Source organism: Homo sapiens, chromosome 15 (assembly GCF_000001405.40).
Source record: "Homo sapiens chromosome 15, GRCh38.p14 Primary Assembly".
Lineage (NCBI taxonomy): Eukaryota > Metazoa > Chordata > Mammalia > Primates > Hominidae > Homo > Homo sapiens.
Genome location: NC_000015.10, coordinates 41,823,428 through 41,848,143, shown reverse-complemented (window position 1 = coordinate 41,848,143; position 24,716 = coordinate 41,823,428). Strand labels below are relative to the sequence as shown.

General features: G+C 57.9%; 4 protein-coding genes across 9 annotated transcripts in view, besides 4 other annotated features; all 4 read right to left on the bottom strand.

Moving 5' to 3' along the window:
- On the bottom strand, positions 1-9,297 carry PLA2G4B (phospholipase A2 group IVB). Its single transcript, NM_001114633.2, has 20 exons — positions 9,222-9,297; positions 7,914-7,986; positions 7,484-7,620; positions 7,239-7,370; positions 7,049-7,089; positions 6,871-6,913; positions 6,573-6,627; positions 6,195-6,325; positions 5,868-5,951; positions 5,553-5,590; positions 4,333-4,468; positions 3,537-3,673; positions 3,074-3,296; positions 2,824-2,941; positions 2,369-2,506; positions 2,097-2,201; positions 1,762-1,941; positions 1,309-1,475; positions 621-807; positions 1-495 (listed from the first exon to the last, which is right to left on the bottom strand). The coding sequence occupies exons 1-20, from the start codon at positions 9,228-9,230 to the stop codon at positions 284-286; spliced, it is 2,346 nt and encodes a 781-aa protein (NP_001108105.1). The 5' UTR covers positions 9,231-9,297; the 3' UTR covers positions 1-283.
- Positions 1-20,052, bottom strand: JMJD7-PLA2G4B (JMJD7-PLA2G4B readthrough). 2 transcript variants are annotated; one of them, NM_005090.4, is made up of 25 exons: positions 19,956-20,052; positions 13,251-13,404; positions 12,921-13,174; positions 12,500-12,556; positions 11,901-11,996; positions 11,593-11,669; positions 7,914-7,986; positions 7,484-7,620; positions 7,239-7,370; positions 7,049-7,089; positions 6,871-6,913; positions 6,573-6,627; positions 6,195-6,325; positions 5,868-5,951; positions 5,553-5,590; positions 4,333-4,468; positions 3,537-3,673; positions 3,074-3,296; positions 2,824-2,941; positions 2,369-2,506; positions 2,097-2,201; positions 1,762-1,941; positions 1,309-1,475; positions 621-807; positions 1-495 (listed from the first exon to the last, which is right to left on the bottom strand). In NM_005090.4, exons 1-25 carry the CDS (start codon positions 20,017-20,019, stop codon positions 284-286), a joined length of 3,039 nt encoding a protein of 1,012 aa, NP_005081.1. In that variant the 5' UTR covers positions 20,020-20,052; the 3' UTR covers positions 1-283. The 2 variants fall into 2 exon arrangements, with proteins under 2 accessions (NP_005081.1, NP_001185517.1); NM_001198588.2 differs by lacking the exon at positions 621-807.
- Positions 10,563-20,052, bottom strand: JMJD7 (jumonji domain containing 7). Its single transcript, NM_001114632.2, has 8 exons — positions 19,956-20,052; positions 13,251-13,404; positions 12,921-13,174; positions 12,500-12,556; positions 11,901-11,996; positions 11,593-11,669; positions 11,204-11,363; positions 10,563-11,076 (listed from the first exon to the last, which is right to left on the bottom strand). Exons 1-8 carry the CDS (start codon positions 20,017-20,019, stop codon positions 10,988-10,990), a joined length of 951 nt encoding a protein of 316 aa, NP_001108104.1. The 5' UTR covers positions 20,020-20,052; the 3' UTR covers positions 10,563-10,987.
- Positions 19,899-20,193: an enhancer, noted in NCBI's record as "tiled region #5929; HepG2 Activating DNase unmatched - State 1:Tss, and K562 Activating DNase unmatched - State 1:Tss". NCBI's record gives its function as "activates a minimal TATA promoter and a strong SV40 promoter by Sharpr-MPRA in HepG2 and K562 cells {active_cell/tissue: HepG2 | K562}" and the evidence as "EXISTENCE:reporter gene assay evidence [ECO:0000049][PMID:27701403]".
- Positions 20,075-20,164: a silencer, noted in NCBI's record as "silent region_6368". NCBI's record gives its function as "represses an Ori minimal core promoter by ATAC-STARR-seq in GM12878 lymphoblastoid cells {active_cell/tissue: GM12878}" and the evidence as "EXISTENCE:reporter gene assay evidence [ECO:0000049][PMID:35858748]".
- Positions 20,225-20,454: an enhancer, noted in NCBI's record as "active region_9286". NCBI's record gives its function as "activates an Ori minimal core promoter by ATAC-STARR-seq in GM12878 lymphoblastoid cells {active_cell/tissue: GM12878}" and the evidence as "EXISTENCE:reporter gene assay evidence [ECO:0000049][PMID:35858748]".
- The window catches only part of MAPKBP1 (mitogen-activated protein kinase binding protein 1), a 53,372-nt gene continuing 48,944 nt past the window's right edge, over positions 20,289-24,716 (bottom strand). For 4 of the 5 annotated variants that reach the window (NR_049761.2, NR_049762.2, NM_001128608.2 and 1 more), the window contains 3 exons: positions 24,083-24,697; positions 23,575-23,660; positions 20,289-22,935 (listed from right to left, as the gene is read on the bottom strand). Coding sequence is in view for 3 of the 5 variants with exons in the window: in NM_001128608.2 (NP_001122080.1) it covers positions 22,708-22,935; positions 23,575-23,660; positions 24,083-24,697 (929 nt within the window). In the remaining 2 variants the exon portion in view is untranslated. The remainder of the gene's footprint in view (positions 22,936-23,574; positions 23,661-24,082; positions 24,698-24,716) is intronic. The other variant, NM_001265611.2, reaches the window with a different exon arrangement.
- Positions 21,500-22,382: an enhancer, noted in NCBI's record as "H3K4me1 hESC enhancer chr15:42117960-42118842 (GRCh37/hg19 assembly coordinates)". NCBI's record gives its function as "activates a minimal SCP1, AML or CMV promoter by ChIP-STARR-seq in naive H9 embryonic stem cells {active_cell/tissue: H9 hESC(naive)}" and the evidence as "EXISTENCE:reporter gene assay evidence [ECO:0000049][PMID:30033119]".

Here is a 24,716-nt window from a genome sequence, read left to right as displayed (position 1 = left end):
TTTGTATGAGTCTGTGATGTATCAAGTGCTCCAACTACTCAAGGTAGCGCAGAAGGGAAAACAGGCACAGGCCGGGGGGTTTTGGGTGATTACACAAATGGGCTTGGCCTCCTTACCCCACTGCAAACTGCTGAGGCGCAAGGGAGCTCCCAGCCCTCAGCCTGGACCCTGGGACCGTGCCACCTGAGCCCGAGGCTCTGAAGCACTGCGTGATGACAGTTCCCACCTGCAACTCAGCAGCCAGGGAATGAATGAGAGTTAGGGGTGGCAGGGGCCCCGGCCATCAGTGGGGCCTGCGCTGCCGCCTCCGCTGCACTGCCTGGCGCAGAGCCTCCAGCAGCTGCTCCTGGTTGTTGCAGACATTGTAATGTGTCAGGTGCAGCAGCTTGTCCACGTCCTCCTGGCTGTAGGTCACCTTCGTGTAGTGGTAGGGAGAGTCCGATGAAGACAGGTTCACCTCCCCAGCTGCCGCCTCCTCGGGTGTCCGCCGGACCCCTGTGGAGAGAGTGCAGCCTGGCATGGGGAACACGTTGTGGGGAAGACAGGTTTGGAGAGGCACAGGGGACGGAGGAGGTGTGGGGGACTGGGGCAGCAGGATGGGGAGGTGAACAGCAGCTCACCAGGGGCCGAGTACTCCCGGAAGGAGTCGCTGACCAGAGGAAAGTGCAGCACCGCAGGGGCTCCGGGGCAGGTGGGGTCGGAGAAGGTGTGGCACTCCCGAGGCTGGAGCTGCTCTTCGGGGCTGGGCGAGATGGGTGGGAACGGGATCCCCTGCTCCTGGCAGAACCGGCCCAGGAGCTGCAACTGCTGCAGGGCAGGCAGAAGGGGCTTCAGAGGGACAGGGCCCCTGGCATCCTCAACACTGGGGCTGACGTAAGATGCACAGGACCTGGGGCTCAAATGCCAAAACGGTCTCCAGTGGGGCCTATGAAGCCAGTCGTTGGAAAAAAACTCTCCACACCTGACAGGCCTCGGTGGCAGCTCCTCTGGGGCTAGACGGAGCCGGGTTACTCCCAGCATTCCAGTTCTGACACTGGGAGCCAAAGCAGACTCAGCAGGTGGGCCCAGAGGCCCAGGACCACACCTCGCAGGTCAGTAAAGGGGACCCAGCTACAAGATACCAGGAGAACCTCGCCAGCCTCCCAACTTCCGGAAAAGAATGAGCTCCTCTGGTGGCAAATTAAGATTCCAGTGTCCCAATCACAGCTCCTAAAGGAAGCTGAACCAGACACTGGACTCCAAAGCCCCTCTCTTCAGGGGACAGGGGCCACCCACCGCCTCCCTGGTGGGCTGCCCACCCTTCCCAACCTGGAAGGCTCCGTGGAGGTTGTAGTCCAATGACAGGATGAGGTCCACGTCCCGAGTGGGCTGCAGGAGGGGCAGGCAGCTGGTATTGATGAGGTAGCCAACATCCAGCAGGCACAGGTGGGGCTCCGAGGGTGTCAGCTGGTTGGGGAGCCCATCCAGAGTGGTAGCTGGAAGGTTGGGGAGAGCAGCAATTGTCACAGATACCAAGGGTACCAGATTCCTGCTGGAAGGAGAGACTCTGGCCTCTGGTCCCTGCTCTCCTGCTGAACCAACACCCCCACAGCCCTGCAGGTGGGCCCTGGGTCCCCAAGACAAGGAGAAAAAGACCCCTGTTCCAAGTAGTCCAGGGAATCAAGCTCAAAGCAGGAGAATGGGAGTGGACTGTGAGGGGTATCTGGACTGGGGACTCAAGGCTCAGGTGGCCACAGGAGGACTTTGGAGAGAAGCAGGTACCTTTCCATGTGGAGAAGTGAGGATGCTGAAAGTAGTCTTTGTGGAAATGGAGGCCACGCAGGAAATTATGTGTGGCCTGGGCCAGTGGACGCCACGTCAGAAGATCGGTGAAAAACTCAGCTATCCTGCCGGCTGTTGAGGGTGGTTCTTCTATCTTCAGAAGGGGGACCTGCTCCTTGTCTACACAGGCAAGGTGGGGGAAATGGGGACTCCTGCACCTTTATCCCCACCTTGGTGGTGACCCTGGAGGGGGAAGAGGTGTGAACCCCCCGCCCCCTGGTGCAGCCCCAGCTGGCTGCCCCTTGGCACCCTTATGAAGGGCCCGGAGCACTTACCCAGGTTGGCCTGGTTCCTGACCCAGCGGTCCCAGAACTGGCTGGGCTCTGAGGCCCAGTATAAGCTGTCCTGGAGGTTGGCTGCATACAGGTTGCTCCAGATACCTGAAAGAGCGGCCGTGAGGGAAGAGGGCCCCCGACTCTTGTCCCAATCCTACCCTTCCCCATGGCCAGTCCTGGCCCAGGAAACTCTTCTGACCGAGGCTGCCCTCTCACCCAGGACCCATTTTCCCTGCTCGGCCCAGCTTCCCCAGCCTGCCAGTGCCCCTCACCTTCTAAGAAGCAGATGCGGGACTCAGGAAGCCTCTTCATCAGCTGCCCCATAAAGAACTCGGAGCCAAAGAGCTCAGAGGGGATGAAGGCCCCGTACTTGGGGAAGCCGACCTCGTAGGGAGAGAACTCGCACCACTCTGTGAGGAGTCCACGCCTCAGCCTCATGGTGCAGAGCCCTTAGGCACCCACACCCCCACCCCGACCCAGGGTTTTGCTTTAGGGCAGCTGAGGACCAGGAGGCCCAGGCCTTGTGGCCTGGGCTTCGTGCATAGGACCTAAGGCCCCTGCCTCCTTCCCAAAGGGCTGAGGGACCCTGGTAGGGTGCCGGTCTCCAGAAAGCACGGGACCTGGCTCAGGAGAGGTGGGTGTGACATCTGCAATCTGCACACAGTCCTCGTTCTCCCCTTATTCCACCAACTGCAAGGGCACAGGTCTCAGCTCTTGGGCCACTCACCCCCAAATTCAAAAGTGGTCAGGCTCTGCCCTTTGGTGTTGAGGGCACAGTAGATGGGCAGAGGGTTCTGGCCATGACTCAGGGCCTCCCGTTGATCTGAGAGCTTGTGATCATGGGGCTGGGGAAAGATGCGTAGAACCTAAACCCACAGCGGCCTGGGTGCCCAGGGCCTTTCCCACCCTGCTGTCCAGCACCGAGCCCCAGCTCCAGCCCTTGCCCTGGCTCTGCCCCCAGGCCGCAGCCCCCGCACCTCATCATGCAGCAGCGCCTCGTTGATGAGGGCCCACAGGTTGGTGAAGCAGCTTGGGTAGCCCAAGCGGGCACGCTCGGCCAGCTCCTGCCGGTACCGCTGCAGCTGGCTGGGGGCCAGCACACCCAGCTTGTTCTTGGTCACCTGGGTCTTCAGCAACTCAGTGGGCCCTGCCAGGTCCTTCTGAGACCACTCTGGGTCCTCATAAAGGTTGGCCAAGGCCCTGGGAAAAGCCAAAGCCAAAGCCAGAGGGCTGTCACTGAAGGACCCCGTCTAGACCCCACGTGCCCCGGGCTTTCTAGGACAATGGCCTGGCAGGGACCTTCCCAGGGTCCCCTTGAGCACGTTTCTCCCTGGCACATTCATTCTCCCAGCCCTTCTAGTTTTCTCAGAGGCCTAGGAGAACCCTGGCACCAGCACCCCCTGCCACACAGGGTCCAGCATCAGCCTGCCCCCAGCTCACCAGGTGGAGCCCGAGGCCCCGGTGATGTAGGAGACGCAATCCAAGAGGCCCAGCTCCTTCAGGCCAGCCAGCTGCCCATACAGGGAAGTCATTGCCCGGATCCCACCACCAGTGGCCATAATAGCTACCACTGGGATCTGGAAAAGAAGAGAGCCAGGCCTGTAGAGGCCCTAGGGATGGGGAAGGCCAAGTCACAGGAAGAAGAGGTAGCAGGTCAAGTGGCCACCCAGCCCACAGCTAAGGCCTGATCACAGGTCTTGGGACCAGTTCTCAGTCAGCCCTGGGGGCCAGAAACAGCCTTTTGAGTGCCCAGCTCCTCCAGTCCTAAGGGCTCCAGGAAAAAATGGCCCAGGCAAGTTCTGAGCCTCATCTCCTTGCCCTCAGCCCCCGAGCCTGACGCTCACTTTCTGGAAGCCCCAGGGCCCGCCTCAGAATTTTCCCAAATTGCCATCACTCCCCCAGGAGACGGCCCAGGCTAATATGAACCTCCTGAAGCACCCTGGGCCAACAGGCCTCATACCAGATATCTGTCTCCCTCCTCAGACAGGCTAGGCTGAGAACCAAGAAACAGAGTAGGAAAGCCAGCCCTATGAGGTAGCTCCCATGTGGGCTCCAGGTGCCTCAAGCAACACTCTGCCTGTACCAAGTCCCTGCTAACACCAGGTGAGAGGAAGCAGGGTGGGGACAGGCAGCTACGAGCTCTGGTCTAGATCGGGGACAAGCAGCTCCAGTGTTCAGCACCAGGAGCTAGGCCCAAGCAAGCCCGGGGACACCCCATCCAGCCCAGCCCCCAAACCTCATCCTCCTGCAGGTCTCCGTCCAGCTGCAGGGCCTGCCTCAAGGCCGCGGCCACCACCTGCTTCCTCCTGCTCAGGAAGGCCTGCTCCTCTGCACAGGGCCCGAAGCCCAGTCGCACGGCCAGCTCCCTCAGTCTGGCCGGGGAAGGAAGAGACTGTGAGACAGCTCTCAACCCTCCCCAGAGAATGGAAAGCTGGGTCTGCCTCACCTGTAATACCTACTGCCCTCCCTCTTCTCCCCAACCCTCAATGCCACTCCCGTGTCACAAGACTGAAGTTTGACACCTGGGGAGAGTGTGTCCATGTGGACATGCTTGGGAATGCAGCAAAGCAGACTGGCAGGACCCAGAATGCCGTGGCCGAAAGAGGCTGCTTGGGGTCCCAGGTGCAGACAGGCCCCCAGGCAGGCCCCATACCATAGATCCCCCCCCTCCAAGTCTCGTGTTCTGTCCCTTACCCACGGAGTTCAAAGCACTTTGGGAGGCTGAGGCAGGCATATAACTTGAGGCCAGGACCAGCCTGGCCAATGTGGGGAAACCCCATCTCCACTAAAAATACAAAAATTAGTTGGGTGTGGTGGTGGGCACCTGTAATCCCAGCTACTCGGGAGGCTGAGGCAGGAGAATCGCTTGAACCCCAGAGGCGGAGGTTGCAGTGAGCCAAGATCACGCCATTGCACTCCAGCCTGGGCGACAGAGAGAGACTCCATCTCAAAAAAAAAAAAAAAAAGGGCAGGGGGCGGGGCAGAAAAGGACCAATAATCCTGTGTCTGTGAGGTGAGAAGCCACTCTCTCAAGACAGAGGGCCAGGGTGGGCGACAACTCTACGAAGATCATTTAAGGTCCAGCCATAACAGCTTCCACCCAAAAGGGCGCAATTTCCCCTCTTCTCTCCCTTGGTTTTCCTGCCCTCTCTGCGCCCCAAACCATGTTACCATTTTCCATCCTTGCCTCCCTGCGTTTTCCAGCCAAACATTTATCAAGTGCTCCCCGGGTGCCTGGCACTGGGCCGGTCACTCGCCCCTCTGACCATAGGTGCTAAGACTCCTCCCAGTACTCCTCCCAGTACTTCGTGCCCCCTCGAGCGCAAGCCTGAGCCCCTTCAGAGAGCATGAGGATGAGGGGCGGCTGTTTCTCCCCCTCACTCCTCCAGGCCTCCTCCAGCCCCGCACCCTGGTTGTTTTCCAGGGCCTTGCCCAGTCCCCAGCCAGGCCTCTCACCCTGCTTCTTTTTTCAGCTCCACTCTCATCAGGGGCTCCTGAAAACCGTGAAGGCCCCAGTCACAAAAGGTCGGCCACCTCCACCCAGCTCTGGTCCTCTTACCCTGATCCCCGGCGCACCACCCCCGCCCCGCCACCGTCTCCACAGGCGCCAGGCCTGAAGCAGGGATGCTCAGAGGACACTCCCCAAAGAGCCTGGCCCCAGCACCTGCTCAGGGTGTGACCCACGGAGAAGCGGGAAGCAGGCCCCTCCCTTTGTGGCCTGGGTCCCAGCCCCATCCAGGCGCCTTGCTTCCTTCCCTGGGAGGCCAGTACCTGGGACGTGGGGAAGACAAGCCTCACCACTTGACCAGAGGGCAGGGCACTCAGTGGCGCCTTTAGTTGCTCCTCGGGGGCATCCTGCAGGGGACAAAGAATGCAGACCTAAGAATCTTTACGCTTCCACTCCTAGCAAAGACCTCACCAAACTCCCGCCGGCAGCCATAGAGTTATGGGAGGGACGGGAAGGGGAGGCCAGCATGGGCCCACACATGCTGCCAGGGTGCCCACTCTGCCAGGTGGAGCAGAGGTCAGACTGGGAGGAGGTGCAGAGGGAGGGAGGAAGTTCTGGGGGCCCCACCTCGAGGGAGCGAGGCACACTACCTGCAGGCGAATACTCAGCTCCTGCTCCCAGCAGGCTGGGCAGTGGAAGCGGAAGGTGCCAGTGCCCACAGAGGCCTCCTGCGGACCCTCACAGGACCCAGGAACCACAAGCTGAACTCTGTGCTCTGAGGCTGGAAACAGGAACCAGAGCAGAGAGGCTGGGGACGGTATCTCTGCCCACAGAACCCATCTTGCTGCGTGGCCTGGAGGGCACCTCCCTCTCCCCGCTGAAATGGTCTGGTGGAGATGGATCCCCCACCACAGTCCCCCGAGAAGGCCTAAGGGGAAAGCTCAGGCCCCAAGGAGAATTGTCCAATGCTTAAAGGGGGAAGACAAGAGCTGAGAGCCAGGGGCTGTCCCAGTGGGTTGGGGACTCACACTTCTGGTCTCCTGTCTCCTCCAGTTGAACGTGCAAGCAGGAGAGCTCCCGGGCCTGAGTCATGAAGACAGCCCCTCAGACACTAACCCCACCCCCCATTCAGGGACCCCACCCTCGCAGCACCCTGGCTGCTGCTGGTCTGCACTTCATTACCTGGGCCCTTGAGATTGTATTCCCTTAACAAACTGAAATCCCAGGGTCCCCAGGCTGAGGCAGCGGTGGGCCTGTACCTCAAGTCGCTGGCATGAGGGAGTCCCGGGGACCCCAGACCGCCTCCCAGAGCACTGGCACACTCACCACCAGAACGCCATTGCTGACGAGCCACTCGCCACGGTCAGCCCTGGAAAGAGCCCCCAGAGCCCCCTTAGCAGGAGTCCAGGTTCCCACCCCACAGAGACCTGGGCATCCCCCAGGCACTAGTGCTGTCCTTCCCACAAGGCACTCCCACCCAAACTGCCCCAGGCCCCTGACTCACAGACTCTGCAGGCGAAATTCAACTTCCAGGCGCCCCTCACCCTGGGAAGAGAGCCAGAAGTAAGTTAGAAAGGGTCAGAAGGAGTGCACATATGTCAGTGAGTATGAGAGACATGCGTGTGTGTGCATGTGTGCGCGTGGAGATTTCAACCCAGACACCAGCTAGGGCTGCCGTGGAAACACCGCCTTGCCTGAGGGCTCAGTGAGAAGCTCTCGCGCCGGAACTCCCCAGCCCGCAGAGTCCCCGCATCAAACAGTACTGACAACACAGGGTCATCTCCGGTCACCAGGTCCTGGTCAAAGACTTTCAGTTCCATGACATTCTGGAGGGGAAAAGAGTGACAGGGCTGCAGGAGGGAGGGGACAGAAAGGTGAGCAGGGCAGCGGCAGTGGCTGGCGAGGATGTGGGTAGAGTCAGCGCTGATGCCTGGCCCACCTTGAGCTGCCTGTGGATCCTGAAGTGAAAGCTCTGGTTCCAGACAGGGCTACTGCTGTTCTTGACCGTGCGTGTCTGGAGCCTGTGGCTGCAGGCCGTGGGCAGCCAGAGAGTCACGTAGCAGTCAGAGGGGGTCACTGCGGGAAGGAACAAGTGCCCAGCGGTGGACAAGAGCCCTTCCCAGCCGCCCAGACCCACTTCCTTCCATCACCTAGAGCCCCATGTGGGTTAAGACTGAGGGGGAGGGGAAGTGGGGGCCAGAGGCAGAGCCCCAGCTGCCACCTTCCACCCAGAAGCTCCTCTCAGCTCCCTCCTCTAGGCCCTGCCCACCGGCCCACCCGCCTCCACCAAATCCAGCCACAGCACCCTCCTCCTCAGCACCCTCCTCCTCCCTCAGCCCAGCACAGGGGCCAGGGCGGTGCGCACTCACCTAGGTCCTTAGAGGGTAGGCGATGGGCCTGCAGGACACGAACCGTGAGCAGGCAGGTCCTGGACACCTCTGCCTGCAGAGGTGGGAGAGGGGAGACCTGCTACGGGCCGATGAAGCCAAGGGTGACAGGGGCCACAAAGGAGGCTGGAGCAGTGCCTCAAGGCCTAATCCTGAACCCCAGGCCCATCCTCCATCTCATCAGAATCCTGAATCAACAAGAGGAGACATGATATCTCCATCATGACGCCTGCCAGCACTTACACAATGCTCTGCGCCGGCTCTGGGCCAAGGGCTTTGCATACATTAACTCATTTATCGCACAACCACCTTATGCACAGATACTATTTACGATGGCCCACTCCACAAGGAAACTGAGGCACAGAGAAGCAGTCACTTGCCTGAGGTCCACAATTGGGGTTGGAGCCCGGGCAGGCTGGCTCCAGATTTATGCCTCACACAGACCTGCTTCCACCTTCTCGGGCTAGTATCCTTTAGGCTCTCCACCCCACATCCCCAGCCCACACCCCAGCTAAGCAGCTTTCCGGCTGGTCTTGGGTGGCAGGGGACATAAGCTATCGAGGGAGGGGAAGTAGCACATCAGGGCCTTGGGCCCCAGGCTGAGCTGCTCTCGTACCCTCCCTCCACCCTGGTCAGAAGAGCATCCTGGAAATGGGCTCTCTCCTGGGCAGGGGAGGCGGCTCCTAGCTCAGACCCCTCACAGGCTGTCATGTCCTCCAGGTCCTGCCAGGTCAGGCTGAAGATGGTCCCCCGGTAGCTCCCTCCAAACCCATGCCCCTGGTTCTGGGAATGCAGCCTGGCAGGCGCACCGGGACCAGGGAAGCCTGTGCCAACTGCTTCCTTTCGGCCTTCCACCTGCCTCCACAAGGACCCTAACAGGTCAAGTCCAGGGAGCAACCAGGTCCAGGGCAGTGCTGGAGGGCCTCATCCACCAGGGTCAGCCCAGGGCCCTCACACTCCAGGCAACTGAGTCAGAGGAGCATGGAGGAGCCACTTGCTTCCAGGGCCTCAGGGCGGCAGCTGGGAGCCTCTGAGTCTCCAGGGCCCAAATCTGTGGTGCCAGGGAGCTCTGCCAGGAGCCCGTTCCCAGGACAGAAAACACTCAGGACGGATCCCTCATCCCCAAGCCTCCTCCTCCCCTGGCTTCTGCCCGCTACCCTGGTCTTGTGGTCAATAAACTCCCCTCCCTACCCCTGGAGAAGACCACAGCTCCCATAAGAAACATATTAACTAGGCCCCAGGTAGAGACCAGGGGTCCCAGTAGGGACCCAGGGCCCTGCCAGGCCTTACCACAGCCATGAGACTGAGTCCTCAGGAGCAGGAATGATGGGGCAGTGGCCACAGGATCAAGGACTGTCAGCTTTCTAACCCAGAGCCAGGGATGTGATGTCCCAATTGGTCCCAAGTCCCTCCTACCCGCCGCCTCTGCTCCACCTAAGCTCCACACCCACTCCTGAACCAGCCACCTGTCCAGGAAATGAGGCACCCTAAGCCTATACTAGAGCTCCTGATACCTCTGTGGCACTCGCCAGCCTTTACCAGCTGGGCCTGCCCCACCCAGCCCTGCAATCCCAGCCTGGAGAGCTTGCTGCCAGGGGCTGAGCAGAAGGAAAGCAGGGGTGAGTCCCAGAACAGCAGCCAAGGGAAGAGTGGAGTTCCCTGTCACAGGCCTTTCGCAACTCTGGCACCTGTTGGACAGGAATGCCCAGTCTTGATGGCAGGGATCCATCAATCTGAGATGAACACCCGGGCCCCCTCACGACAGGCAGGGGAGTGGCTGTCACATAAAACAGCCCTTCAAAGCTAGGTGCTGAGTGGCCAGGGATGAGGCCTGTGGGTTGGCACTCAGGGGCAGGGGGTTCTTCTGCCTCCAGGGCATGGTTTGTGGGGGGGTCAGCGTGTGGAGACCAACTCTTTCCTCAGAGGGACAGCCCCAGGAGAGGCGGGGGCTTCCGTCCCTTCCTGCCTGTGCCTGTTATGGGAGAAACAGGGGTTATCCCCAGGGCACCAGGTCCCACCTGCTGCCCCTGAACTGGGGGAGGACAGTAACCATAGGAGAGCTAGGAATAGCTCTCAAGGTCCTGGGCAAAGAGGTCCGGACCAGAGAGCTACAAGACTCAGGTCTGCTTGCTTGTCCCAGGGAGGGGCTGCGGTGACTCTCATGGACAGCGGGACTTGGGCAGCTGACGGCTCTTTGGGCCCAGGCTGGGATCCAGCCCTCACCCCCAGTGAAGGTCACCCTGAAGTTTTTACCTGAACCTTCAGGCCCTCCTTAGACCACAGAAGGCAACTTCAAGAGGGAGGATCAGAACATACGACTCATAAGCCAGGCGCAGCAGCTCACACCTGTAATCCCAGCACTTTTGGGAGGCCGAGGCAGGTGGATCACGAGGTCAGGAGATCAAGACCATACTGGCTAACACGGTGAAACCCCGTCTCTACTAAAAATACAAAAAAATTAGCCGGGCATGGTGGCACGCACCTGTAGTCCCAGCTACTTGGGAGGCTGAGGCAGAATAGTGTGAACCTGGGAGGCGGAGCTTGCAGTGAGCTGACATCACACCACTGCACTCCAGCCTGGGTGACAGAGCGAGACCCCATCTTAAAAAAAAAAAAAAAAGGACATACGACTCACAGCTACCTTTTATTCAACATGTCCTGTGTGCCAGCTCCATGCTGGTCCTCATAGACATCATCTCCAAGCCCACAACAGCCCCGCGAGGTACAGCCATTATTATCTCTTTACTGACAGGACACCAATGCCCGAGACGCAGTGACTCGCCCAACATCACAGCGCTGGGGAGAGGTGCCGCTGCACCTGATCCCCACTCTGCTCACCTGTGTGGCAACTTCCTGAGAACCCTCACCCAGACCTGCCTGGCACCTTGAGTCCTTATGACCACATTCCAAGATCCTCCAAAGCTGATCTCAAGCCATGCTGGACCCGGGGCCAGCAGCCAGCATGCACACTCCAGGCTCTCTCGAGAATTGACCTGGCCAGGGAGGGGCTGGCTCCGTCCCCCGAGGCGTGCTTGGTGGTGTTCACCAGTGCTCCATCAGTCAAGGCCTGAAGCCTTGGTGAGGGAGTCGAGCAGCTGGAAGTAACTATACTTGAGGTCGTATTCCATGTCATACCAGAAATTCACTGTGGGAAGAACGGGGATCTGAGCATGAAGATCCCTCTTCTGACCTAGAGCCTCCCAAGCCTCCCCCCAGAGGCCCTGCTGGACCTTGACAGGGCCTCTCCCCAGGCGGCCTGGGCAACTCTTCACCTGCGATGCAGCCCTGGGACTGCTGGACGTGGTGGAACCACAGAGCCGGCAGATAGAGCATCTCACCGGCCCGCACCGTGCAGCGAAGGGCCTGGGCCTGACTGTAACTAGGGTACCGTGCTAGGTCTGGCGCCAAGGGGTCCAGTGGGATCCAGGGCACCTGGGAACACATCAGATGCCAGGGAGCAGCCCCCCAGACCCCCCAGGACTTCAGGCTCTGTCCCTTCCAAAGGTCAACACCACAGGCCCTGCTTGGCTCAGCAGTGAAAGGCCTCAGACTTAGAGACTTTTCAGAGCAAGGTGCCACCTCCCCAGATCTTTTGTGCCTGTTCTTCAGAGCCAGGCTTCTGCCCTTCTCCCTCCCTAGAGCCCAAGAACAGGACAGACACCTTCTCCATGGCCTCTTCATCCACCACCTTAAAGGTGCCCTCTTCAGTTAGCTGGTAGGTTGCCGGCGTGTACAGCTCTGGAGCCCAAGGGAGAAGGGTGTGGGGGAATTGCAAACAGCCTGGAACTTGCCAGACCCTCCTCCACCCCAGCCAGCCCTGGGCAGGGGCAAGGGGATCAGGGGCCCTGGTGCACTGGGGATGCCACAGCCACACCTCAGGCCTGGGAACTGGCCTCCCAGGCTCTTGCTGCCTCCCTCCCCCTTGGGCCAGCTGTTCCCCAGCCCCTCCCTGCAGGCCACATCCCCTACCATAGGGGATGAAGGGCCGGTCGCTGGGCGGATGGAACAGGAAATGCTTCTCTCCTGAGACCACGCAGTAGAGGTTCTCATAGTGGTCCTTGTGCACTGCCAACAGAAAGAAGGCCCGGGGGCAGGGTATGGAGGGCAGGGGCACGGGAGGAGGCAAACCATCATGCTGAGAGCCCTGCACCCCAAGACGTCCTATGACAAAAGAGAAGCACGCACAGAGCCAGTGGGCTGGAGATGCCAGGGGCTCTGATGGGCATTCTGGAACTCTGCCTACCAGGGACCTGATGCTCACCAGGCCCTGGACTCCTCTTCAACAAGAGGGGAAGTTCTCCTACACTTACCCCCTGGCCCAGCGGGCCTTCAGGGAGGTTTCTTTGGGTCTAGAAGAAACAATGCACCCGCCCCCAATGCCATGGGTCCATTCCCCGACCTCAGCTGTCAGGGGAAACCCTCTGTGGTGCCCGAGTCCTAGAAGCCAAAAGAAATCTTAGAGAACAGCCCAACCTCCACCCAGGGCCATCCCTCCACTCCTGGCCTCGTCTTCCCTCCCTCTGCCCCAACCTGCTCCTTCCCCACCTTTGTATTCCCCTTACACCTACAAGAAGTCACTGCAGCCGCCTCCCCCAGCCAGAAGTTCACAGCATCGGGCATCTTTCCTGCAGGGCAGAAGGCAGAGAGCAAGTTAGGAAGGCCAGGCTGGGGAAAGCTGCCATCCAGTGATGCCAGAGCCAAAACCTGGGTGAGCACAGAAGAATCCCAAGAAAGGGGTCAGGGAGAAGAGGCAGAGGTTGGGAAATCTTGGGGAAGGGGTCCTCCCTCCCTGGGGCAGAAGGAAGGACAACAATCTTTGGCAATTCATCTATGATTAAGTCAAGGCCTGGGAATGTATTTAGTGAGCTGCACCAGATGCTGACAGGACCAAGCCCATAGGCCAGGTCATCACCTAAGGGCAAACAGGCTGACCCCCCTCCTTCCCATATCTTCCCTGTCCAGGGCCACGACCACCCCACCTCCACTCACCCAGGGCTTCGGAGGCCCAGGGCACATGGGATTCCAGATCAGGCAGCAGCTGGGGCAGCTCGCTGGGCAGGTTGGAGCACTGCTTCTGCACATAGAGGACTCCAGGGTGCTGGGCCCGGCCCTCCAGCACATCCAGCACGAAGCTCAGGGGCAGGCGGCGCTCAGCTGGCATCATGAAGCGATCCCCTCTCACGGCATCCGCGTAACCATCTGGGGTCACGGCCACACTCACCTCTGTGGAGCCCACTGTGGCTCTAGAGGAATGGACACTCAGCCCATGCCCAGATGCCAGTAATCACTGCTCACACCTGACCCCAGGGCAGCTCCCACCTGAAATAGGGGAGGGACCACTTCTGGAGGGCCGGCCAGTGCTGCAGAGCGTTGCGGATAATGCACGGCCTGTTGGGGCAGACCCAGTCCCGGTAGAAGTGGAGCGGAGTTGGGGGTTTGTCCAGGTAGGGCACAGCAAGAGGCACGCAGAGCTCTGAGAGAAAGAAGAAGACAGGGGATGGAAGGGCTGATGTCTGCAGCACCCAGTCCCTGCCCAAGAGATGCCCTCCCTGGAAAGGCCGCGCTGTGTCACTGGGAAATGCTCGTTGGTGACCAAAGGACCCTGGACAACCAGTAATAGAAAGATGAGGACGGAAAAATGAAAGCAGAAAGCATCACGCACACACACCAGCATGGGCCCTGACCGTCCACAGGGCCAGAGGCTGCTACCCAGCCCATAAGCCAAATCCCCTGTGGGGCTGTGTCTGCACAGTGGACCCTATGCCTTCCCACCCTGGAGAGGCCAGCCTCCTAGCATCTACCAGGAAAGGCCACCATGGAAGTGGCATTGGGAGCTCCAGAATGAGTAAGGCTGAGGCCCCATGGCCACGGGCTATTCTGGGTGTTGTGTGGCTCTGGGAAGCCCCCTTTAACAGTGACATTTACTGAGCACCAGGAATGTGCTCAGCACTTGGCTTGGCTAATCTGGGGCTATCAGGGATGACACAATCATCATCTTAAGAAATTTACAACCTTCTTACCCGGGAAGACAAACTACCAGATGACACCAATGGAGGAAAAGGAAGGGCTCGGCTATGGTTTGGGTCCTGCTGAACAGCATCACCATCTCCAGACACCCAGGGCCACCACGTACACTTCGGCAGGCTGCGTGGTGTGCCGCCTGCGCAGGGGTCTACAGTGGCCCTGTGTCACCTCTAATCAAAATCTTTTTGACTCAGCTTTCTCCTTCACTCCCGTCATCCTACTGATTGGCTCTGAGTCCTGTTGATTCTGTCTCCTATGTCTCTCAAACCCACCGTCTCCTCTCCTCCACTGGCATCCACATTCCAGCTACCTCCTTTGGGTCCTCACTCAAATATCACATTGATAAGACTTCCTTCTCTGACTATACTTTCTAAATTTATAATCTGTCCCCCTGCTGCAAATCTTTATATCCCTTTCCGTATTTTTTCTCGTTAGCATTCATCACCATCTGACATGCTATATATTTTAGGGCTAGACGTGGTGGCTCATGTCTGTAATCCCAGCACTTTGGGAGGCAGAGGCAGGAGGATTGCTGAGGCCGGGAGGTCAAGACCAGCCTTGGCAACGTAGGGAGACCCCATCTCTACAAAAAAATTAAAAATTAACTGGACATGGTGGCATGCACCTATACTCCTAGCTACGCTAGAGGCTGAAGCCAGAGGATCACTTGAGTCCAAGAGGTAGAGGCTGCAATGAGCTATCATCGTGCCACTGCACTCCAGCCTGGGTGACAGAGCAAGACTTTATCTCAAAAAAAAAAAAAAAAAAAAAAAATATATATATATATATATATATGTATTTCACCTACATAAACTGTTTATCATTCTTTCACCCTTGCTAGAATGTGAACTCCACAAGGGCAGAGACAGTTGTCTGTTCACTGATGCACCCCTGGGACCTAGAACAGTACCTAGCACATAGCATGTGCTCAGCAAGTATTTGCCTAATGTTGAATAAAAGTCTCCAGTATCCTGGCTGGATGGTTGCAGTAGTGAACTAGCTGGTTTCTCTGGCTTAATTCCACTCCCACCCAAAGCATTCATCATCATAGCCCCAGTCATCTTCTGAAAATACAATCTCATATTGTCACACCCCTAGTAACAAATGCCTTGATGGCTTACCACTGCTCCTTAGAGAATGCTGCCTGCCTTGGCACGCATGACCAGGCCCAACCTACTCTTCCAGTCTGATTTCCTGTCTCGTGCCTGCCCTTGCCACACACCCTCTATTCAGGTGGTACCTTTGTTCCAGCTGCTCACTCAGACTGGAGTGTCTTTCTACTGGTTTTTATAAAGTGTACAGGGCTTCGCTTTGCTACATTCATGCTCTAGGTCGAGCCAGAAGGCCGTGGTTCCCATTTGGTGGTTACCACATGCTGCTCCAAATGGTCCCAGCACTGATGTTCACCTCTGAGGTTACGCTGCACCTCTCACAGCAACACCATGCCAGTCACCTTTACTTTCTGATCAGTTGGAAAGTGAATGTTCTTAGATCAAATATTGTAACTGAGTGAGAAGACCCCACTGGGCCCAGGAATACTGGAAAGGAAAGAGTTGGTGTGCCTGCTTGCTTCCCTGGCTAGAGGCAAGATGGCACCCATCCAGTAGATATGGAATCCAGGAGACAGCAAAGTGGCAAAGGCCTTCCCAGTCACGCCAGCCCATCCAAGCAGTCACCTTGAGAGATGGGGTGGTCTGGGGCTCAGTACATCTTCCTGTTGTACTCGCTGAGATTAAGAGACAGAGTCTTGCTCTGTTGCCCAGGCTGAAGTGCAGTGACGCAATAATAGCTCACCGCAGCCATAAACTGTCACGGGATCTTTGGGGTGTTGCTTTACCAGCTGGAAACCTCTGTGGCCAGTGATGCCTTTGCCTGTTTTGCTCGGGCCCATTGGGCCCACTCGGCCCTGCAGGCTGTGCTCAGCTCATGCTACCGGCCTGGATCCCACACCTGCCAAGGGCGAGTGGGGCAGCGAGGGGTGTGTGAGCGAATGAGTGTGGGGTTTGGCCACTGCGCACAGCTAGGCATGTGGGCTGCGGTGGGGCAGGCAGCTTCAGGTGCCAACACAGGTGCTGGTTTCCTGCAAGGCTGCAGCTAGACCAGGTGTACCATAAGCAGCTTCCACAGCTGACACTGGGAAGCATGGTGGTGCCTGGAAGCTTGCAGATACCAGGAACCGCAGAGCCCTAAAGAGGGTGTCAGAACCCCAGCTTGGGAAGCTCCTGGGTCTGGACTCCCCAAAGGGCCGCAGTTCTTCTTTCCTTCTGGACACCCACAATGTGGCGAGCAAGACGCATGGTTCAGTCCTCTTCATGTTACAGCTCTTTTAGCCCCGCCACTCAGCAGGTCCCAATTCTTGTCCTGCATCCAGGAAGAATGAGGTACACACAGACAAGCAGAGGGTAAACAAGACAAAGAGGAGCTTTACTGAGCCATAGGATAGCTCAGAGGAGACCCACAGTGGGCAGCTCCTCTCCGCAGCCAGGGTGTCCCAACGAGTGTTCAGCTCTCAGCAAAGAGGATAGCTCCTCTCTCTGCAGGCAGGTAGTCCTGTTGAGTGTTCAGCTCAGCAGAGCTTTGTTCCAGCTGCTCACTCAGACTGGAGTGTCTTTCTGCTGGTTTTTATAAAGTGTACAGGGCTTCGCTTTGCTACATTCATGCTCTAGGTCGAGCCAAAAGGCCGTGGTTTCCATTTGGTGGTTACCACATCCTGCTCCAAATGGTCCCGGCACTGATGTTCACCTCTGAGGTCACACTGCATCTCTCACAGCCACACCATGCCAGTCACCTTTACTTTCTGATCAGTTGGAAAGTGAATGTTCTTAGATCAAATATTGTAACTGAGTGAGAAGACCCCACTGGGCCCAGGAATACTGGAAAAGAAAGAGCTGGCATGCCTGCTTGCTTCCCTGGCTAGAGTAGCTCCTCTCTGTGGGCAGGTTGTCCTGTCATCTCTCCAGCTCTCAGCAGAGAGGGTAGCTCCTCCCCGCAGCTGGTCGTCCCATCGTCTCTTCTGGTCTGGCTGAGTCAGGGGCTTTTTATGGGTCTCACAGGGGAGGAGGTACATGCCTATTGGTCCATGGGCAGCCATGGGTGGGCCGGAAAAAGCACCAAAAGTTCCCATTCCGGTCCATGGAACCGGCAGCCCAGCCCCCAGGCTTCAGGCCTTCCCTGGCTTGAAGGTCGGGCTTCACCGGGACCCGCCACCTTCCACCCAGGAACCTGTCTGCCTCTTGCCACCATTCACGGCACCCAAGCTGTTTGTGCCAAGGGGGTGCCTGCAGGCCAGCACTGAGCTGCCCTCAGCCCCTCTTGGCCTCCCTCCCATGCTCGTTGGCACCCAAAGGCCAGAGGGGGCCAAGGAGGCAGGGGGCTGGTGTGTCAGCACTGCAATAGCACCCAGGCTCGGCCTCAACTTTGCTCCATGATCTGATCAGGTGCTGACAGTGGGGAGAAGCCAGACAGCAGGATCAGGCACTTCCAAGCCTGCGGCAGCAGGAAGGGGCCTTCCTGGGTCCCCAAAAGTGCAGACATGCCTGGGTCCACAGCTGCAGCTTGGGAGGCTGCAGCTGCATCTAGGAGGGTGGGGCTCCTGCCTGCTCCTAGCTCCCAAGAGCACAGGGGTGCCTGAGTTGCAGTCCTGGCTTGGGTGGCTGTAATTGCGCCTAGGGAGCTCCCACTCCACCAACTTGGAAGGGGTGGGGCTCCCACTTGTCCCCAGTTCCCGCCAGCTCTGTGGAACATGTGGCCCCAGCTGCCTCTCCTCTTCACGTTTTCCCCACAGCGGCGGCGGGCAAGGTGCATATGGCATGGCAGCTCTGACCACCCCAAACAAATGAGCCTAGTAGTCCTGTGTTCCGGAAACAGTGAAGAAGCCAGTTTGCAGGAGCAGGGTCTTTGTGCACATGTGTGAGTATTTTTGTACTCACAAGTGCAAGTCCCTACAAGTCCCAGTTGCACCTTTGGCAGGGTGCTCGCAGGCTTCTGGGATGTGGCAGGGAGCGAGGTTCAGGCTGCAGCAGAGGGTCTGGGCTGAGGAGCAGGTCCTGCCCAGCCATGTGAGGGTGGGGGTGGTGCAGTCGGCTGCCTCGGGGATGCAGGGAACAGGGGACTCACTACCACCACTGCTGCTCCCAGAGCCACTTCTGCTGCCCGACTTGTGCCTCCCCACTGCAGCCAGCATGATGACAGCATCTGCTTCCAACTGCCCGCCACTGTCATCAAAACTGCTGGACTCAAACAATCCTCTTGCCTCAGGAGGTGGGACTACAGGCACATGCCACCACACGATGGTGTCTCACTATGTTGCCCACGCTGGTCTTGAACTCCTGGCCTCAAGAGATGCCTCCCACCTTGGTCTCCTGAAGTGCTAGGATTACAGGCGTGAGTACTGCACACAGCCTGGGATTCTGAAAATACATGGAAACTGCCATTTTTTCACCCTTTGGACTTCTGCAATTAGGGATTTGTTTTACTTGCTCACCATTTCCTTTAGAGAATGGCTGCTTTCCTCTCCTGGGGCTTCCAAGTGAGAAAATTTCAAAAGGGATCCAAACAATTGCTTTGACCCCATAACTCTGCTAAGAATTTAACAAGGCCGGGAGCAGTGGCTTATGTGTTCCATGGCGTTCCAAAACTTTGGAATGCTGAGGTGGAAGGATTGTTTGAGGAATCTGAGACCAGCCTTGTCTCTACTAAAATTCAAAAAAATTAGCCAGGCGTGGTGGCGCATGCCTGTAGTCTCAGCTACTCCCAGGTGCTGAAGCAGGAGGATCTCTTGAACCTGGGAGGTCGAGGTGCAGCGAGCTATGATCGTGCCACTGCACTCCAGCCTGTGTGACAGAGTAAGACCCTGTCTCAAAAAATATAAAGTATTTAACCAACAAACATACTCACACATGCGCAGAAGACGCTGCTCCTGCAGACTGGCTTCTTCACTGTTTCCTAAACACATCAGGCATACTCCCAAAGAGGGCTTTGCCTGCACTTACCTTCTAACCTACTTCTTCTACTCTACAATGTACTCATTCAGTACACCTGTGGTTGATTGTCCACGTTCTCACTTAGAATGTAACAGGACATAGACTGTAAAAGACAGATTTGTTTTGTTCAGTGATGTATCTCAAACACACTGAACAGAGCCTGGCACACAGAGATGCTGAATAAGTATTTGTTAAATCAATCCTCAAAGTATTCGTTGCAGCATTATTGAAAACAACGGATTGGACATGACCTAAATGACTAAGTGAATACAGCACTAGCACACAGACGTGAAAAAGACTGAGGTAGAGGAATGTGAAATGATCTCCAAGATACACGGTGCAGAAGAGTGTGTTTAGCAGGCTACTATTTGTACAAAAAAAGGGTAAAAAGTCGTGTGTGCACGGATATAAACAATCTTTCTGTAAGAATGCAAACTGGGGCTGGGAGGAAACCTTGCTTCATTTACATTGCGTACCACTGTATATTACATACCCATCACATACACATGAGCCTGTGTTGCTGTTCAGTGGTAAGAAATCATTTAAAAATAGAAAAAAGAAGGAAGGAGGGAAGAGAGAAAGAAAGAAAAGGAATAAAAACCAAGCAGGGGAAGAGCCAGGGACCATTTGGTCAGCCTGCAATCCTCCCAAAGTGCGACAAGGGAGTTGAGGTCGGAGGTGGGGCGCGTGGGGGAGGAATCCGACCACCAGCTGTGTGCCTTCGATGAGCTTTCAACAAGGGTAACAGCAAGCTGCTCAAGACTGTAGGAAACACAGGGCTTCGCCGCGACCACGGTCAAGACGGCACCGGGCCTTGGGAACAACGTGAACAGAATCACCCAGGAAGCCGCGGGAGCGCGCGAACACGGGAGAAGGGAAGCAGGTTGCCACAGAAGAGCAACCCGAGCGGGGCCTCAGGGCAGTCGCACACACGAGGTTCCGAGCCCCCGGTGTCAGCGGCATCCCAGGGCCCCTCCCGTGTTCGGAAATCGCCGCAGCCTGTGGGAGAGCCACTCACCCCTTGCAGCGGCCGGGAATTCTCGTAACTCGCTCCGCACGGCTTCCAAAGCCGCCTCCGCCATGGCTGCGTCAGCGCCGGCCGAGACCCCGCCTTTCCCCGACGCCCCGCCGCAGGCCACACCCCAAGCACTCGCCCCGCCCTCCCCAGAGTCCCCGCCGCAGGCCACACCCCCAGACCCTCGCCCCGCCCTTCCAGAGGCACCCGCCGCAGGCCACACCCCCAGCACCCCGCCCCGTCCTGCCCCTGGACACACACCGGGTTCTGCCACCGAAGCGGTGGAGCGACTGGCAGCGCCCGCTTCGGCCTGCCCCACTGGCCGGCATCCCAGGGTTAACAAACAATTGTGTTTATTGACAAGTTCATACATCAGTACAAACGGGCACGTTAAAAACAGCGCCCCCGCCCCATGCAGCCGAGGATGAGGCAGGAAGCGCCGCGACCTGCACAAAGTATAAAAGTTATAAATAAGGGGCTTTCAAAACAAGGCGGGGGCAAATCTGGAGTGGGGCGGCGGTTGCCGGTGGCCTCAGACATGCAGAAGGGGACGGGGCGCCGGCCGGGCCACGAGGCCCCCCACCCACATGGGGCAGAGGGCAGGAAAAGGGCGGCCACATTCTCACAAACTTCTGGCGAAGGGTAGCTCCCTCCTCGTGAAGGACCTGGCCCAGAGGGCGAACCTGAGTCCCACCTGCGGTGGGCGCGGCTGGTGTGGGAAGTCGGGGCACAGCAGGCACGGGCCCGCCCCCGCCGCCGCGGGAGTTCCAGGGCCATGCGGGTGGCGATGCTAGAGGAGTGGGGAAGGGCCAGGTTTGGAGCAGCTCAAGCGCACTCAGGCTGATGCCCCGGAGCTGGGAACCTTTTGTAACCCTTTTTCTTTTTTTTTTTTGAGATGGCGTGTAGCTTTGTCACCTAGGTTGGAGTGCAATGGCGCGATCTCGGCTCACTGCAACCTCCACCTCCACCTCCAGGGTTCAAGCGATTCTCCTGCCTAAACCTCCCGAGTAGCTGGGATTACAGGCGCCCACCACCACGCCCAGCTAATTTTTTTATTTTTAGTAGACAGGGTTTCACCATGTTGGCCAGGCTGATCTCGAACTCCTAACCTCAGGTGATCCACCCGCCTCGGCCTCCCAAAGTGCTGGGATTACAGGCTTGAGCCACCACACCTGGCCCAGAACCCATTTCTTTATAAGCCTCTGCCTATGGCGCAGCAGGGCGGGTGAAGGGGCTCTCGTGGCCTGAAGCTGTGGTAAAGCTGCTCTGACTTACCTGCAGCAGAGGGGAGCAGTAGGGCCCAGAAAAACCTTTCCTCAACTCTTCAACTGCCTCACGACATGGTCCCACTCTACCTCCTAGGGTCCCCTATCTCCTTTCCCTCACCCCTAATTACTGCCCTTTTACATTCTAACTTATCCCCTCACCTCTGCCACTTACCTGTCCCATCTACCACTTTTCTAGTGTCTCCTTTGGCCCCAGCACCTCCCTCCTCTCAAACTCCAGTATCCAGCACACCCGTGGGTGCCCAGCACTGCCTTTGAGGAGGCTCCTTCTACCTAAACCAGGTGTCCTATGGGCTATCTCGTATCAGCTAGGCTGTGGACACCAAGAATCCAGAATCTGGGTTCACTTAGTGTACTGCACCCCTTTTCTGCTCCCTGATAGGTGTTCCACATAAGCCAGGGTGGTGAAGCTGAGGCAGGATGTGAGGAAACCAGGCACACAGCAGCCAGCCAGATACTCTAGCAACCAACACTCAACAGCGTGCTGTGCAGGTAGGTGTGTGTGTGTACATGTGTGCACGTGCATGCGTGTGATCTCATCTGTGGCTGAGGTCCTCAGGAGGTAGGCCAGCGCCCCGTAAACGAGGGATGTTCCAACACAGGCTTCTGACTAAGCATCATTCAGGATGCAGGGAGAAGGTGGCCTCTGGGCTCCAGCAGCCGGCTGGGGTCCAGGGTGGAGGACAGGGAAGAACAAGGGGCTGAGGAAAGGAGGCCAGAGCTTCATGTTTGCCCAGGTGAGGGCTTACTGTCCTGCAGCAACATCCCACAGCTGGCTCAAGTTCTGGCCAGGAGAGTAAGGGGTCACAGGGAAATACAATGCTGGGCCCCTCTTGGAGGGAGAATGGGAGTGGAATGTGCGGGCTCAGGTCCAAATACCAACTCAAGTCTCCTGATGGCTGGGGACACCCTGGAGGGCCAGATGGCTCTGCCTTTCTGAGCTCCAGGTATTGGGGAAAACCACCCTGCTCTGGCAGCCACGGGAGTGCAGCTGGTGTGAGAGGGGAAGTGCAGGTAGAGGTGAAGGCCCACAGTTGGCTGACGGGCACTGAATACCACATCACCTCTCACCTCGACCCCAGAGTACCCTGTGTATGCTCCACCACAGGGAGCTAATCCCTGCAGTAATTTCAAATGGCTTCTAAGAGAGGGCCAGCCCTTCCCAGATTCCTAGATGGGGCAGGCTGCCCTCCTACCTCTCACAGCACCAAGATGACAAAGACCCAAGACCTGTCCCTGCCACTGGAGGGGCTGTGGAGGCAGGAGTTCCAAGGAAGTGAGGCAACAGTCAGGGAAATAAATTAATAAATACAGGCCCCCCACGAGGAGCGGCTGGGAAGGCTGCTTTGCCTCTGAACACTGCTCCCTGCTTTCCACTCCAAGCAGCCCCGCAGGTTTTGGTGAGGGGCAGAGGGGCTGCAGTTTGGAATCGCTGGAGCATTCATTCACTTGGGACAGGCTTCCAGAACTCAGAGTTTGCGTTCCATACGCCGTTCCACGGCTCGAAGCAACAGTTCTGAGTATTGCTCCAGCAGGGCCTGTGTCTGCTCGGCTCCCACAGCCCCAGGGCTGCTGCCTGGGCTGGACAGCACTGCCCCAGCCACAGCTTCCAGCTCCTGTCGCACTGAAGAGAAGGTGTCTCTGAGGAGCTGGGCAATCCGACTTTGCTCTGCTGAGGGCATCTTGCAGCCAGCCACCTGAAATAGCACCCCCAGAAGTGAGGTGGAGGAGCCTGTCAACAGACATATAAAAGGGAGGGGCCCCACCTGGGTCCAGCCTGCCTCAGAAGGGACTAGCTGGGAACTCTACCCGCCAAGATCAGCATGTATGGCCAGGGAACATGGGATGCAGGCAGACTCTGGGGGTGACGCCCAAGGAGGAACCCATTGGATTGCAGAACCGTCTACATCTTATAAGCAACTCCTTATGACAACTCCGGCAGAATCTGCTTTCTCTTTCAAAGTTTGGGCCTTCTTGGACTGTCCCCTATGTCTAAGGGGGCCAAATAATTCATGGATATGAAAAAGGATGCCATTAATAATTACACTGGGACAACGACATAAACTGGGATTGTCCTGAGCCAACTAGGAGGTGTGGTCTCTTCAGGCCTCACCTCCTGAGGGAAGTCTCCAGCTCTTAACCAGAAATGACCGCAGGTGCCCGGTACAAGAGGCTAGCCTGGCCTCTAACCCCCTCACCTATGCTGCCCAAGATGTTCTTGAGTGTGCCATCCTGTCAGCACAAGAGGCTTAGCATACTGTTCTGGACATGGTTATCCGAAACACCCAGCACTACTGACGTGCCCGCCTTCCTGCCGGGGGGCACCTAACACCCACCGAGTGGTAGAGCCGCACTGCCTGGCGCACGCTGCCGCGGAGCTCTGCCACCAGCTGCTCACACTGCTCCAGGCTCACCGCTGGCTCTGAAAGAGACGGATACAGCTCAGTGAGGCCCAGCATGTAGCCCTTTCAGGCCTCCGCACCCAAGACACTCAGAACAGGAGAGACCTAGCCCTCAGCATTGCACCCCCCACTTGCCCTCAGTCCCTTCCTCTTGGCTTCTCTTCCAACGGCCTCCCCAACACCACACAAACAAGGTCCAGAGGAGACGGCCAGCCCCAAGTTCAGAAGCCACTGAATGGGCAAGTGAGTCACAAGGAAATCATGAAGGTTAGCAGGAGGGTCTCACCATCAGGGGTGTGACTTACGGACCTGCGACAGGAGCAGACAGGACAAGAAACACCAGAAGCTGTACCCACAGAAATGGGATGGAGCCAGACAGCGGCCAACAGAGAGGGGAGAGTAAGGATGGGGCAGGAGATGAGAGCTGGGGAGCTGTGCACACCTGAGTCCTGGCTCAGGGCTGCCCCTGGCTTGGTGCATTCCATGGGGTTGGGAGTCTTCTCAGGGGGTGGGGGCTGCAAGTTTTCAGGGCCTTGGAAGAGGCTGCTGACTGGCAGTTGCTGGGCACAGGGGCTGCTGGGCCCAGGATGAGCCTGGCACTCTGTCCTAGGCTTGGGAGTGGTGCCCTCCCCCAAACAGGCCCATCTCTCAGTTGTACTGTGAGCTTTTCCTAGGCCCACCGGGAAGCCAGGCTTTTCTGCCTCGCCAGGGGCCCGGCCTTTGGTGACAGGAGAGAATGCAGCCAGGGTAGGACGGTCAGGCAGTGGTTTGGGGATGTCCAGGACCAGGTGAGCCCGGCTGGGCAGGGCCAGCTTGCTGAGTGGTGAGACTCGGATGGGGGCATGAGCTTGAGGTTCAGCCACCAGGCCCAGGTTCTCCCCAACAGAGATACTGCGGGATATCTTGGCCATGGAACTGGTGGTGGGGTTCTGATAGGAGTGAGGCCGAGACGGACGGCCATCAGCTGGGGGCAGGGAGCCCAGACCATCCTGAGCTTCGATCTCCCGAGACAGCAGTGCGCCTGGTGAAGGGGCCTGCAGACTGGCCTCATGTCTTTCTGCAAAGGAGACAGAGGT